Raw genomic sequence first — 15,437 nt, 5'->3', positions numbered from 1 at the left:
CTTTTTCGGTTTCCATTGACATGGAATATCTTTTTCTATCCATCTATTTTCAGTCTATGTGTGTTTTTGGTTGTTGTTGTTATTGTTGTTGCATTTTGGTTTTCTTTTGAGATGGGGTGTCACTCTTGTCACCCAGGCTGGAGGGCAGTGGTGCAATCTCAGCTCACTGCAACCTCCACCTCCCAGTTCAAGCGATTCTCTTGCCTCAGCCTCCCAAGTAGCTGGGATAATAGGTGCCCACCACCACGCCCAGCTAATTTTCTTGTATTTTTAGTGGAGACAGGGTTTCACCATGTTGGCCAGGCTGGTCTCGAACTCCTGACCTCAGGTGATCCACCCGCCTCGGCCTCCCAAAGTGCTGGGATTACAGGCATGAGCTACCATGCCTGGCCATCTATGTGTGTCTTTATAGGTTAAGCGTGTTGTTTGGTAGGCAACAGATGGTTGAGTCTTGCTTTTTCATCCATTCAGAGGCTCTGTGTCTTTTAATTGGAGAGTTTAGTCTATTTACATTCAATGTTATTAATCCTAAGTAAGGACTTATCCTGCCATTTTGTTATTTGCTTTCTGGTTATTTCTGGTCTTCTTTCTTTTTTATTTCCTTGCTGTCTTCCTTTCAGTGAAGGTGATTTTCTCTGGCGGTATGATTTAATTTCTTGATTTCTATTTTTTGTGTATTTGTTTTATGTTTTTCAATTTGCGGTTACCATGAGACTTGCAGATACTATCTTATAACCCATTATTTTAAGCTGAAAACAGCTTAGCACTGTTTGCATAAATAAAGAAACAAAGAGAAAACTAATATAAATTCTACACCTTAACTTTGTCCCCTTGCTTTTTACTTTTTATTGTTTCTCTTTACATCTTACTATACTGTTTAGTATAGTATTGAAACTATACTATACTATAGTATAGTATAGTATAGTATAGTATATACTGTTTAGTATATATTGAAAAGTTGTCATAGTTATTATTTTTTATTGGTTGATTGTTTAGTCTTTCTCCTTAGGATAAGAGTAATTTACACATCACAGTTACAGTGTTATAATATTCTCAATTTCTCTGTGTACTACCACCAGTGAGTTCTAAACCTTCAGATGATTTCTTATCGCTCATTAGTTTCCTTTTCTTTCTGATGAAGTACTCCTTTAGCATTTCTTGTAGGACAAGTCTGGTGTTGATGAAATCCCTCAGCTTTTGTTTGAGTGGAAAGTCTTTATTTCCCCTTCATGTCTGAAGGATATTTTCACCAGATATACTATTCTAGGATAAAAGTTTTCTTCCTTTAGCACTTTAAATATGTAATGCCACTCTCTCCTGGCCTGTAAAGTTTCTATTCAAAAGTCTGCTGCCAGACTTATTGAAACTCCATTGTATATTATTTGTTTCTTTTCTCTTGATGCTTTTAAAATCCTTTCTTTATCCTTGACCTTTAAAGTTTGATTATTAAATACCTTGAGGTTGTCTTCTTTTGGTTAAATCTGCTTTGTCTTCTATAACCTTCTTGTACTTGGATATTAATATCTTTCTCCAGGTTTGGGAAGTTCTGTGTTATTATCCCTTTCAATAAACTTTCTACCCCTACCTCTCCCTCCTCCTTAAGGCCAATAACCCTTAGATTTGCCCTTTTGAGGATATTTTCTAGATCCTATAGGCATGCTTCATTATCTTTTATTCATTTTTCTTTTGTCTCCTCTTACCATGTATTTTCAAATAACCTGTCTTCAAGCTCACTAATTCTTTCTTCAGGTTGATCAGTTCTGCTATTAAAACACTCTTATGCATTCTTCAGTATGTCAGATGCACTGTTCAGCTCCAGAATTTCTGCTTGATTCTATATAATTATTTCAATCTCTTTGTTAAATCTATCTGATACAATTCTAAATTCCTTCTCTGTGTTAGCTTGAATTTCTTTGAGTTTCTTTAAAACAGCCATTTTGAATTGTCTTTTGGAAAGGTCAGATATCTGTATTTCTTCAGGATTGGTCCCTGGTGTCTTATTTAGCTAATGTGGTAAGGTCATATTTCTGTGGATGATCTTGATGCTTTTGAATGTTTGTTGGTGTCTGGGCATTGAAGAGTTAGGTATTTATTGTAGTCTTTGCAGTCTGGGCTTATTTGTACCCAACCTTCTTGGAAACGCTTTTCAGGTATTTGAAAAGACTTGGATGTTGTGGTCTAAGCTGTATCTGCATTAGAGGGCACCCAAGCTCAGTAAGACTGAGCTGACTTGTTGGTCTTGGATAAGGTCAAGAAGAATTCTGTGGATTGTCAGGCAGAGAATCTCACTATCTTTCCTTACTTTCTCACAAACAAATGGAGCCTCTCTCTCTCTCTGTAGTGAGCTGCCTGGACCGGGGGGTGGAGTGACACGAGCACCCCTGTGGCCACCACCACTGAGACTGCTGAGTCAGACCTGAAACCAGCACAGTGCTGGGTATCACCCAAGGCTTCCTATAACCACTATCTGGCTACCACCTAGGTTTGCTCAAGGCCCTAGAGCTCTGTGATAAGCAGATGGCAAAGCCAGCCAGGCTTCAGGACACTGAGTGCCCCCAGGCCCCAGGAGGGTCAAAAGGTGCTTTCCAGGAGCCAGGGACTGGAGTCAAAAACCTTAGAAATCTACCTAGTGTTATATTACACTTCAGCTGAGTTGGCCCTTAAACCATGAGATGTAGCCCTCCTCGCTCTTCCTTCCCCTTAGCACAGGTAGAGGAGACTCGCCTGGTGGCTGCCACCACCACAGGCCCATGGGAGTACCTCTGGGCTACTACTGATATTCCCTTAAGGCCAAACGGCTCTTCAGTCAGCTTGCGGTGAACACTGTCAGGCCTGGCACTCACTCTTCGGAGCAGTGGGCTCCCCTCTGGGTCGGGGCAGGTCCAGAAATGCCATTCAAGAGCCAAGCTCTGGAATTGAAGACCTCAAGAGCTCACTTGGTATTCTACCCCTCTGTAGCCAGGCTGGTACCTAAGGTGCAAGATATAGTCCCCTTTAGTTTTCTCTCTGGTTTCTCAAGCAGAAGGAGCCATAGCTCCATAGCCACCCCTGCTGGGAATGTGCTGGGTCTCATCTGGAGCCAGTAAGTCTCAGAATCTCACCCAAGGCCCACAGAATAATACCTGGGTGTCACTGCTGGTTATGCATGGCCTAAGGGCTCTTTAGTCATCAGGCAATGGTTCCTGCCACAATGGGGTTCTTCCCTACAAGGTAGAGGGGTCCCCTCTGTCCCAGGGTGTGTCTAGAAATGTGGTCCAGGAGCTAGGGCCCAGAAAGGAGGCCTCACAACCCTGACTGGTGGGTACCTGTCCATCTTACTGTGGCCGAGCTGTTATCCAAGATGCAAGACAAAGTCCTCTTTACCCTCTCCTCTCTGCAAGGGGAATGAAAGGATCTCTTTCAGAGCTGTAAGCTGTGCTGCCTGGGGTTGGGGGAATGGCGCAAGCACTCCCTTAGCCACCCTGGCTGGTGTCTTAGTAGGTTGTATGCCTTTTAAGTCCACTGGCTTCGAACCCAGCTTAGCACTAGGACCTGTCCAAGGACCTGTCCGGGAATCACAGGCCTCGCGGCCTAGATTGCCTTTCAAGTTTATTTGGAGCTCCCCCTTTAGCCCATGGTGGCAAGGCTTGCCAGACTCAAGTTCTGACTGCTGGGACAGGCAACTCCCCTCTGGCTCAGGCTAGTCTAAAGGCTCCCTCTGTGGGTAGGTGTCAGCTGAGTTCAGCCTGGTTTTGCTTTCCACGGTGACAGGGAAGCGCTAAGTTCATGTGATGTCTCACCGACACTGCGCTCTCCTTTCCCCAAGTGCGTAGATTCTCCATGCCCTGCAGCTGCTGCTGGAGGATGGGGGAAGGGTGGCCTCGGTGATTCAAGACCCTTTCCTACCTGCTTCGCTGCCTCTTTCAGCGATTAGAAGTTTAAACCAGACACTGTGAGTGCTCACCTGATTTTAAGCTCTATGAAGGTGCTTTTCTTGTGTAGATGTTGAGGTTGGTGTTCCTGCTGGGGAGATGGTCAGTAGGGTCTTCTTTTCAGCCATCTCCCTCCACCGGTTCCTTTACCACATTTTAAAGCCAACATTTAGTTAAAACTTCACTACCTCTTGTTTCAACTGCAAGTTCATATCCTTTTATCATTTAACTAATGCATGTTTATGTTTCTAACTTGGATGATTTTTAAACATAACATTCTTGTGTGCCATTATCCTCAAATCTATTGATGCTTTTAGCAGTTTAAGAAAGAAAATCTTGTACATGGCTTTTTCCTTAAAATTTTTTTGAAAAAAGAAAGAAAGAAAGAGAACCTAAGAAAGAGAACCTTTGAGATTTGGGGAAAAATAGTCTTTAAAATATTTTTAAATAGAATTATTTTGGGTTATAATGTGGTATGGATTTAAATTGACCTTCCTCCCAAATATAAAAATAATTATTCAATAATGTTTATTTTATATAAATATGCATTATATATAATATATAAAAATATATAAAACATATTTTTATATAGTACGTATATAAAATATCCCTTTTAATAGCATAATTGTGTGATATCTTGTTTAGGATATGCTAACTGGTTATGTAGGGAATTCTCTCTTCTGAGGTTATCTGTTCTCTTCCAGTGTTTACATAACTATCCTTTAGTAAGCCTTTTGAGAACCAAAAACACACGTAACACTTTCTTTTATTTTCCAGTGTTCTGGCCAGGAAGCAGTCAGTAAATGTTTATTGTTGTTGAAACTGAAATAAAACATGGAGAAGACAAAAATATCTTATATTCCACTTTGTGTCCTTAATTATGTTAAGAATAACACAGAACAGGCCGGGCGCGGTGGCTCACGCCTGTAATCCCAGCACTTTGGGAGGCCGAGGCGGGCGGATCACGAGGTCAGGAGATCAAGACCCTGCTGAAACCCTGCCTCTACTAAAAAATACAAAAAAAAATTAGCAGGCGTGGTGGCGGCGCCTGTAGTCCCAGCTACTCAGGAGGTTGAGGCAGGAGAATGATGTGAACCTGGGAGCCGAGCTTGCAGTGAGCCGAGATGGCACCACTGCACTCCAGCCTGGGCGACAGAGCGAGACTCTGTCTCAACAGAAAAAAAAAAAAAAGAATAACACGGAGCATTTTCCTCCATTAAGCAGCAAAAACACTGATCATGTGATAATCATGTGATAATCTCTGAATTATAAATGAGTCTTACAGGTGCATGCAGTTGCTGTTCAACATTCAGATTGATTTGAGGGCTTCCCAGTGTAATGGCTGGGAAAGAATATGGTTAGAAGATTTGGTAAAGACTCAGGGGAAGAGCCTGTGGGATAAAAAAAATCATTAAAGTTTTAAAAGTTTTGATGCAAAGAAGGAAAATACAAGACTTGAGGCAATGAAGATAGCTAAGAACCACTCATTGTGTTTTCCTCACATTTCAAAGATGAACATGAATACTAAGGTAAAAACATTTAAGAGTTTATTTAATTCTTATCACTTTCTTATTGTTTCTATTTTTTAAAATCTTTTCCTTTTTCATGAAGTATTTAGTAGTAAAAACTCTTTAAACTCAAAATAAATTCTAACTCTTGGGGACAAGAGGGTGAAAGAGAAACTAACTAAAATCTAGTAAGATGAGAATGTGAGTGGAGGAATGGCTGCTGATAACAAAGAGTGGGCCAGACAGACCCGTCACTACAGCCCAGGAGCACAGTAACGAAAGGAGTCTTTGGACCAATGCCAGAGCGGGAGTGGTGCTGAGCCCTGTGAGCCAGCAGGAGGATGAGGTGCCTGTTTGAGATCAAGGTGCTATTTCTCTTCCATGATGAAGTGCTCTCCTTCTGTGTCCACCTCTTTTTACCACCCACTTTAGCATTTTCAGCTAGGTGGATGTGTTTACCTCTTAGAAACCAGTTTGGAGATTTCTCAAAGAATTTAAAAGAGACCTACCATCTGACCCAGCAACTCCGTTACTGGGTATATATCCAAAAGAAAACAAATTGTTCTACCAAAAAGACACATGCCCTTGCATGTTCATCACAGCACTATTCGCAATAGCAAAGACATGGAATCAAGCTACGTGCCCATCAGTGGTGGACTAGATAAAGACAATGTGGTATGCATATACCATGGAATACTATGCAGACACAGAAAAGAATGCAATCATGTCTTTTGCAGCAACATGGATGCAGCTGGAGGCCATTATCCTAAGTGAATTCATGCAGGAACAGAAAACCAAATACCACATGTTCTTGCTTTTAAGTGGGAGCTAAACATTGGGTACTCAAGGATATAGAGATGGCAACAATAGACACTAGGAACTATTTGAAGGGAGAGGGAGGAAGGGGGACAAAGCCTGAAGAACTACATATTGGGTACTATGCTCAGTACCTGGGTGATGGGGTCATTTGTACACCAAGCCTGCCACCTATGAACACCCAGGCACACCCATGCCATAAACCTGCACATGTACTCCCTGAATCCAAAATAAAGGTTGACATAAAAAAATAAAAATCTTGTGGAGTGATACTAACTCTAGCAAATAATCTTTAACTGTATGGCTCCAAGTTCCACACAGTCAATGAACTTAAATGTCCCACACATTGCTTCTGGGAGGATTTATGGAAAGGCCTCATAGACAATCCAAATGTAGTGTTTGCAAAGCCAAGTTTATTATTCTTCCCACTCTGCACCAGCTACTTCTTCTATATTCTCTTTCTTAACTAACAACTTCAACATCTACACAATCACTCACACAAGAAATCCTGTAGCTTCCCAAGTTGTCTGTTCTATACCCCAAATTCAAGTGTTCATACCCCACATCCATGCCAGTCCCACCTTTGCTGAAATGTCTCTGAGTTCAGTCTTACTATGGCTCCTATTAAGTTGGGTCCTTGCCTGGAGGATCACACTAAGTGCCTGTTTTGCTCATCTTATTCTTTTCCATCTCTGATCCATTCTCCTTTCAACTGGATATATATTAAAAAAAATACATCTGATATTGATAGACTATTTTAAAATAACCATTAATGTCACTACTTTGTCTGTTGGATAAAATCCAAAATGTTACCCAGCTATTTTCTTAACCTCATGTAGTTTAAACTTGGACCATGCTAGGATATTTCCCTTCTGCAAATATGCTATTCAGTGTCAGTCTTCCATGACTATATGATGAGATTAAAAATTCATCAAAGTAGAGTCAATCCTGCTGTGTTTTTTTTCTCCCAAACAGTCTTTAATGCTGCGTAACATTCTTGAGTTTTTTTGCAGTAATGGTGTTTGCACATTTCAGAAACACATACCAATTGAAGACAGAACTACGGTGACTTCTTCATCCTAGTGCTTTCCTATGCCTTCTGTGAAATTTATTATTGTGGTTTTGCACACAGCAGGTGTCCAATAAAAGTGTTTTATTGAATTGAATACTGCTTTCTATTCTTCTAAAATATTCCACTTTGATCACTGGCTGTCACCTATTCTCTACAAGCCTTGGCACTATAAAACCTATATGTATACGCATAGAAAATAACCCGAACACTGCTCTGTGCAGTGGCTCACACCTGTAATCCCATCACTTTGGGAGGCTCAGGTGAGTGGATTGCCTGGGAGGTGGAGGCTGGTGGATGGCCAGACCCCAGGAGTTTGAGACCAGGCTAGGCAACATAGCAAGATCCCATCTCTACCAAAAATACAAAAAAATTAGCTAGGTGTGGTGGTGCGCACCTGTAGTCCCAAATACTCAGAAGGCTGAGGTGAGAGGATCGCTAGAGCCAAGGAGGCGAAGGTTGCAGTGAATGCGCCACTGCGCTCCAGCCTGGGTGACAGAGCCAGATCCTGTCCCTCTCCCCACCTCAAAAAAAAAAAAAAAAAAAAGAAAGAAAGAAAATAACCTAAGCAGTACACAAAAAGTTGTTAACTGTGGTTACTTCAGGAGGGAAAGATTGGGTAGAGAAGGGCAGAGGGAAACTTGAACTTTTCACTGTATAATCTTCTGTAGAGTTTAGAATATTATACTATTCATTTTATAATAAAATAAAGCAAATGAAACTCCTCAGCCCCATGACAAAACCCATCACCTTTGTTTAAAGATAATCCCACGACAACTTAATGTTGATTCAAATGTACAAGTCAAGAGTGGAGAATTATTCTATTTTCTCTTTTTTAAAATAAAAAAGTTTTATCATGTCAAATTCTAGGCGAATAGCTGTCATGAGAAGGCTTTAAAATTTCTTCTTGGGCCAGACGTGTTGGCTCACGCCTGTAATGCTAGCACTTTGGGAGGTCGAGGCAAGCCAATCACCTGAGGTCAGGAGTCTGAGAGCAGCCTGGCCAACATGGTGAAACCTGTTTCTACTAAAAATGCAAAAATTAGCTGGGCATGGTGGCGTGCACCTGTAATCCCAGCTATTTGTGAGGCTGAGGCAGGAGAATTGCTTGAACCTAGGCGGTGGAGGTTGCAGTGAGCCAAGATCCTGCCACTGCACTGCAGCCTGGGCTCTTGGAGGTATACATAAAATGTTATTTCAGATTTTAAAACAGAAAACAAGAAAAAAATGGAACACATATTGTGTCCCACTTGCTGTAATTGTTGAATATTTAAAAGATTTTTTGATTTTTAGAATAACAATATCATTTGAATCACTTCTGTTTAAGAATTTTGTTTTAGTTCTTCCAATAGTTGAGAAGAAACTAATTCTAGTTAATATATTTATCCCAAGATACATCCAATCATTCCTGTCATAATTTTACACACTAGTTATTTAGAAATATATAATAATCAATATATCCATAGTTTAAAATGCATAAACAGTAAGATCATATAACTCATGTTACACAGAACAGAGTTAATGAGCCATAAACCTACCTTGTATGAAAGTGATGGCTTCAGATGGGTCGTATACATAATTTGTAACTTCAAGGATATGACCTTTCTTTTTCCTTTTACCATATGATAATTAGAGTTGTATGAAATATAAATTATTCTTTTCATTTATTGTGCATGTTGAAGAATTACATTTTGTAAAATCCCTTGGGATCTTACTGTTTTCCAGACAGCTACAGTGGGTTAGAAAAGATGATTCTAAGAGCAGCTTTAACTCCTTAGAAGTCAACACTAATCCCCTGAGAGCAAATATGGAAAGAAGATGGCAAATTGGGATATTACCAACAAAGCGTGGGTATTTTCACTAGGCACACAACATACAACTTAACTAAAGAAGTGTTATTTTCTTCCCCAGGATACTCTTCCTTATTTTAGAAACATAAAGAACATCATTTCTAGGATTTTTATTGGGCTAATACAAAAACAAACAATTGTAAGTCTGACTTCTTTCCTATCTTAATTAAAGTAGAAGTTAGGTTCTTGAAAGAAATAATTTTATTTAACTTCAAACTTGGAAAAATGTACTCTAGACCCATGTTATCTTGTTATTCTTTATTGCACTGTACTTTTCATGTTTCTACAGTTTTGCATTAATGCACAAAATGTGTCTTCGTAAGTACTCTTCAGAACTGAAATTTTCTCTGCATTAAACTAGAATCATTAATATAACAGTTTCTGGTGAATACATAATACTGGATATGAACTGTATTTGTTTTAGTAATTTGTTCTTCCATCTGATATAAAGCATTTGCATGAAAATATTTATCACCACAAAAATATGAAATAAAAATCATGTTCTTTATGTTGAGTTAAGCTACAAGAATAAACAAAGATTTGGTCCAACAGGAAAATGTGTACTTTTTCGTCACAGAGTGAAGATTTGTCACAAACAAACCTGATGTCAATACATACATGTATCTGAAATGACTAGCTTATATTTTCTTTTCTTGCTAAAAAAGAAAAAAAACATTTATCTCATTGTTTTTGTTTTCTGTTACTCCTTTTTTTCAATTAAAGATGTCATTGACACCTAAGAAACTGCAGGTATTTAAAGTACAAAATCTGGTAAATTTTGTCATGTGAATAAACACATAAAACCATTAACACAATCAAGAAAGTGACCAGACCCAACTCATGCTCTTAAAATAAAATAAAATTTTATAACAATTTTTTATGGTGCATTAACTTTCACATCTATAGTACATTGTAAACATGCAGGGAGTGTGGAGTACAACGTCATTATACATTTCATCCCAAGTGTCCTGCCTGCCACTGTCTCACCCCTAAACCCAAGACTACATTTGTCTTTATTTTAAATGTTTGAGGAACCAACCATCTGCTCATTTTCTGTAGATACAGACAGGCATTCTACTTAATGGTGTCCTTACGTGATGTATTACTTGGATAACACTAATGGGCAGAAAAAAAAAGTGGAGTTGATTAGAGAAAATAAACATTTTATTGAGTGGAAATCCAATAATAGATGTCATCTGTTTTAGTCACATTGTTTTCCTTATGTAGAAACACTGACAATATAAGGACCAAAATATGTGTTTCAGTTTCTTACCTTTAAAATTTTCCTCTGAATTTCAAGGGAAAAGAATAAGGCTAACAGAGGCAGACTGACTGCCTGTATGGAAAATTTTACTTACCAAGGGATTATTTCATCATAACATGAATACTAGAAAATATCAAACACATTATTTTACATTATGAGTAGTGGGATAATGTAATGAGACCTTTACTGAATCTGAAAGCAAAAGACCTGTGTCTTCGGCTAACTTTTACTGTCTATGTAACCATGGGCAAGTTACTTTATTCCTCAGGGGTTCAACTTCTTCATCTGTAAAAGAGGTGGATGAACTAGATTAGAGATTAACAGGTCTTTCTGTAAAGGGCTAGATAATTTTTTTTTTTATTATACTTCAAGTTCTAGGGAATATTTTTACTTTGTAGACCATATGGTCTCATTTGCAACTGGTCCACAGTGCCATCGTAGGACCAAGGCAGCCATAGACAACATTTCAACAAATGAGTGAATAAACATGAGAATGGCTGTTACAATAAAATCTTATTTACAAAAACAGGCAATGGGCAGTAGTTTGCTGACCCCTGAACTAGATTTCTAAAATTCCTTTCAGCTATAAATTCTGGTTATTTCATAAAGAATATGCTTACTTTTCTAGTGTTGAAAGTTGGCATAAAATTATATCACTGTAAAAGACCCCAAGAGGTGATTAGTTTTTCTATCTACTTCAGGCAAAATTACATTTAAATTACCAATGAAGACAGCTGTCCAATCATCTACTACTAGTAAAAGGATGAATATTTCCTTACTTTTTAAAAATAAAGTCATTGTATAATAGGTAACATATCTGAAGCTGGTGTAAGGTTTTGGAAATATCTTTAATGGCTTTAGATTGAATATCTTGCCATATTAAAAATCGACTTTACACATGATAAAAGATAGAAGAATGATATATCTTTTTTTCCATTATTCTTATAGCTTCAAATCCTAGGAAATCATTCTTCCCCCAATAGATCTAAACATTATAAAATTTTTCTTCCATACAAAGAAATTGTCATAAATTATTTTTTCAGATATGGAATAGAGATGAATAAATCAAGAAACATAGCTCCATCAGCTCTTCAGGCTTTTTACTATTTATCTTTTTCATTTAGGTTATTTTATGAGCTTTATAAACGAAACGTAAAAAGTGCCTTAGATGATGTAGTAGTCAGAGATTTCACGTAGCAAAAACTACTGGAACCATCTAATTTTTGAAAAAACAACATTTATGATAATTGTTGCTTCATGGTTTCAAAATCATTGATATAACTATTTTAATTTAAATTAGCTAAAAATTGCAATATATTATATGACACAGTACATCAACTAAAGTTAGCATTAAATTTTACTTCTCTATTTTCTGCCTCTAAATACAAGTAATGATTTATTTAGCTACCTTCTGGAAACAGTTTAATTTCTTTAAATTGTCTCTAGTACTTATTATATATTTTTGTTCTGATATTAATTGGATAAATGCAAACATAAAGACACATTAAAACTCAAAAAGGACAAATATTTCTTAAGATTAGTGTTTACATTTACTTTAGGCCCACAAATATTTGTATGAGTCATAAAAAGACTGATAAAAAATACTTACTGGAAATCATTCCCATTTTCTTCTTCAAAGTCTTCCTTCAAACGCCCATTCTGTGCTGAGAACACATGGAAACATGGAGGGTGGGGGCACAACACACACTGGGACCTGTTGGGAGTGGGAGAAAGAGCATCAGGAAGAACCGCTAATGAATGCTGGGCATCATACCTAGGTGATGGGACCACCTGTGCAGCAAACCACCATGGTGCACGTTTACCTATGTCACAAACCTGCATATCCTGCACATGCACCCCTGAGCTTAAGATAATTGAAGAAAAAAAAAGTGTTCATTCTACTAATGTGGCATTCAAAACTCACTAGCTTTTATTAACTAATTTATGAAGCAGCTGGTAGTCTCAATGTCTGTTTGAGTCTGGCTGAGTCCAGGGTTTTTATGGGCTCAGAAGGGAGGAAATGCGTGCTGATTGGTCCATGGATGGCCATGGGCGGCCCAGAAAAAGCACCATAAGTTCTCACTCCTGGCCATAGACTCCACCTGGAGCTGGCAGCTTGGTCCCCAGGCTTCAGTCTGTCCCTGGCTTAAAGGTTGGGTTTCACTGGGGACCCACGCCTTTCCACCCAGGAGCCTGCCTCCTGCCACCATCAACATGCCATCCACAGCACTAAGGCTGTTCCTGCTGAGGGGCACCTGCAGGCCCATGCTGAGCCACCCTCAGCGTCCCCTCAGCCTCCCTCCCATGCTTGTTGACACCCAAAGTCCAGAGGGGGCTGAGGTGGCAGGGGGCTGGTGTGTCAGCGCTGCCCTGAGCGTACACATACATGGCCAGGTTGCCAAAGCACTTTGGCTCTGCCACAACTTTGCTCCAAAATTGGAGGCAATGGGAGCAGGGAAACACCAGGGAACAGGAGGAGGCAATTCCAAGTCTGTTGGTTGAGGGGGGCGGCTTCCTGGGCCACTGAGACCGCAGGGATGCCGAGTCCAGAGCCGTGGCTGGGTGGCTGCAGCTGTTCCCAGAGCACTGGGCTCCCAACCTGCCAACTTGGTAAGGGGTGGGGCTCCCACTTGTTCCCAACCTGGCTGACTCTGTGTAGCACGCAGCCCCGGCCACACCTCCCCCACTGCAGCTGGTGTCCCGCAGAGGCTGCTCCAGAAGGGCTGCCACCGCCATCACTGTGACTAGCATGCAGATAACACACAGAACATTGCCAGCATCTCAGAGCCATCCTGTGTCTCTGTTTTTTTTGTTTCGTTTTGTTTTTTTGTTTTTTTGAGTCAGATTTTCACTCATCCCCCAAGCTGGAGTGCAGTGGTGTGATCCTGGCTCACTGCAACCTCCACCTTCTGGGTTCAAGCAATTCTCCTGCCTCAGCATCCCTAGTAGCTGGGATTACAGACATGAGTCACCAGGCTAATTTTTTGTATTTTTAGTAGAGACAGGGTTTCACCATGTTGGCCAGGCTGGTCTCGAACTCCTAACCTCAGGTGATCCACCCACCTTGGCCTCCCAAAGTGCTGGGATTACAGGCATGAGCCACCGCACCCGGCTCATCCTGTGTCTCTTTGAATCACTTTTCCCCAGGGGGAACAACTATGCTGACTTCTATCACCATGAATTTGTTTTGATTGCTTTTGAAATATATATAAATTAAATAATACAAAATGTATTATTTGGGTCTAACTTATTTTGCCTACTATGATTTTAGACTCATCAGCACTGCTTTGTATAGATGTAGCTTGTTAATTGTCATTGCTGTATTGGATTTCATTGTATGACTATAGCACAATGTATTTATCCATCCTATTGTTGACTCTCATTCAGTTTTCTATATATATGTATATACACAAACCCACAAACATACATACATATTTGGTGGACATAAATATCCACTTCTGTTGCACATATTTTAGATGTGAAATTGCCAAGAAATAGGAGATACATATGGTCATTTCTAGTAGACACGGCCAAATGCTTTTCCAAAGTTTTGCCTGAGAATTCTAGTTGTTCTACATTCTTACCAACATTTGGTATTACCTGTGTTTTTCATTCTAGACATTTGGCAAATATGTAGTGGAATCTTAATATGATTTTAATTTTAATTTCTCTGACGAAGAATAAAGTTTTGATATATTTATTGGTCATTTGGATATACTCTTCTTAAGTGCTGGTTCAGTCTTGTGCCCATTTTTGTCAATTCTCTCTAAACTGATCTGGAATTCCACACAATCTCAATCCTATATCTTAGCAGGGTGTGTATGCATGTGTGTTTACATAAATTAACAAGCTCATTTTGTAATTCCTATGAAATTGCAAATGATCAAGAATAGTCAAGGAAAACAGAATTTAGCTGGAAGATTTACATTTTTAGATATAAATGCCAATTATAAAGGTATAGTAATTAAATCTTAACTATGTATGCCAATGGCTAAAGCCAACGGAAAAGAGTAGAGAATCTAGATTTATGACAAAAAAGGCAGTGGGAGAAAGGATGACCCTTTCAATAAATGGCTGTAGGTCAGTTGGAAATCAATACAAAAAATGTATTTTGCTTCTACCTCACAATACACACAAAAATAATTCCAGATCTAAAAATGAAAGATTAAACAGTGATGTTTTTATAAGAAAAAAATAGGAGAATATCTTTCTGACCTTGAAGCAGCCAAATATTTTTAAACATGTAGAATAGATAGAATTTGCTGTTGTCAAGATATAAGTTTCAGAGAAAAATGTCTCAAGGACAACTCCAGAGCTTTAGGACTGTGTACTAAGAAGCAAGAGATGTCATCTATTGTGATAAGAAAGACTGCAGCATGAACTATGGTTGAGTGTCCAAGTCAAAAGTGTAGTATTGAAGAAGTTACATTTGAGATACTTATTATATATTACACCATTATAATAATATTATTATATTATAATATTTCTGAAGAGAAGTGAAGCAGACAGTTGAATATATGAGTCACATTTCATGGGAGAGGTCCAGGCTGGAGATGGAACTTTAGTAATTGTCTGAGTAGAGATTTATTTTACTACCAAGAGTTAAGAGAAGAGGGTCAAGGACTGAAAAATCAGCATTTTATTGAAAAATAATGTGCAGAAGACCCAAATGGAAATTCTAACAAGGTTGGGAACAAAGCAGACTTTTAAATATTATGTTGGCAAGGACATTGTTAATTTGCACATTACAGATAAACCTTATGTGTGTCAGGTGTAGTATTTACCCCATTTTAAGGATGTGCAAACTGAGGCTCAGATGTGTTTAAAATTTAAACTGAGGTCTCTCTGACCCTATGCTCTTTATCTTTTTCTTTATATCCATAATGCTTTCTGCCTCAAGAAAGACCTATGTCCTCATTTCCAAAATCTTTTCAACAAGAAATGGTCAAATGAAACTTATAAACTCTAACTTTTTATGACCTACTTAGTATTAAATAAAATTTGAGATTACCTTCACAT

At 38.8% G+C, this 15,437-nt stretch overlaps 1 annotated feature.

Moving 5' to 3' along the window:
* Positions 12,849–13,445: an enhancer, noted in NCBI's record as "H3K27ac-H3K4me1 hESC enhancer chr4:188710078-188710674 (GRCh37/hg19 assembly coordinates)". NCBI's record gives its function as "activates a minimal SCP1, AML or CMV promoter by ChIP-STARR-seq in primed H9 embryonic stem cells {active_cell/tissue: H9 hESC(primed)}" and the evidence as "EXISTENCE:reporter gene assay evidence [ECO:0000049][PMID:30033119]".

Source organism: Homo sapiens, chromosome 4 (genome assembly GCF_000001405.40).
Source record: "Homo sapiens chromosome 4, GRCh38.p14 Primary Assembly".
Taxonomy (NCBI): domain Eukaryota; kingdom Metazoa; phylum Chordata; class Mammalia; order Primates; family Hominidae; genus Homo; species Homo sapiens.
The sequence above is the reverse complement of the archived record's forward strand: the minus strand, read 5'-3'. Positions and strand labels throughout refer to the sequence as shown.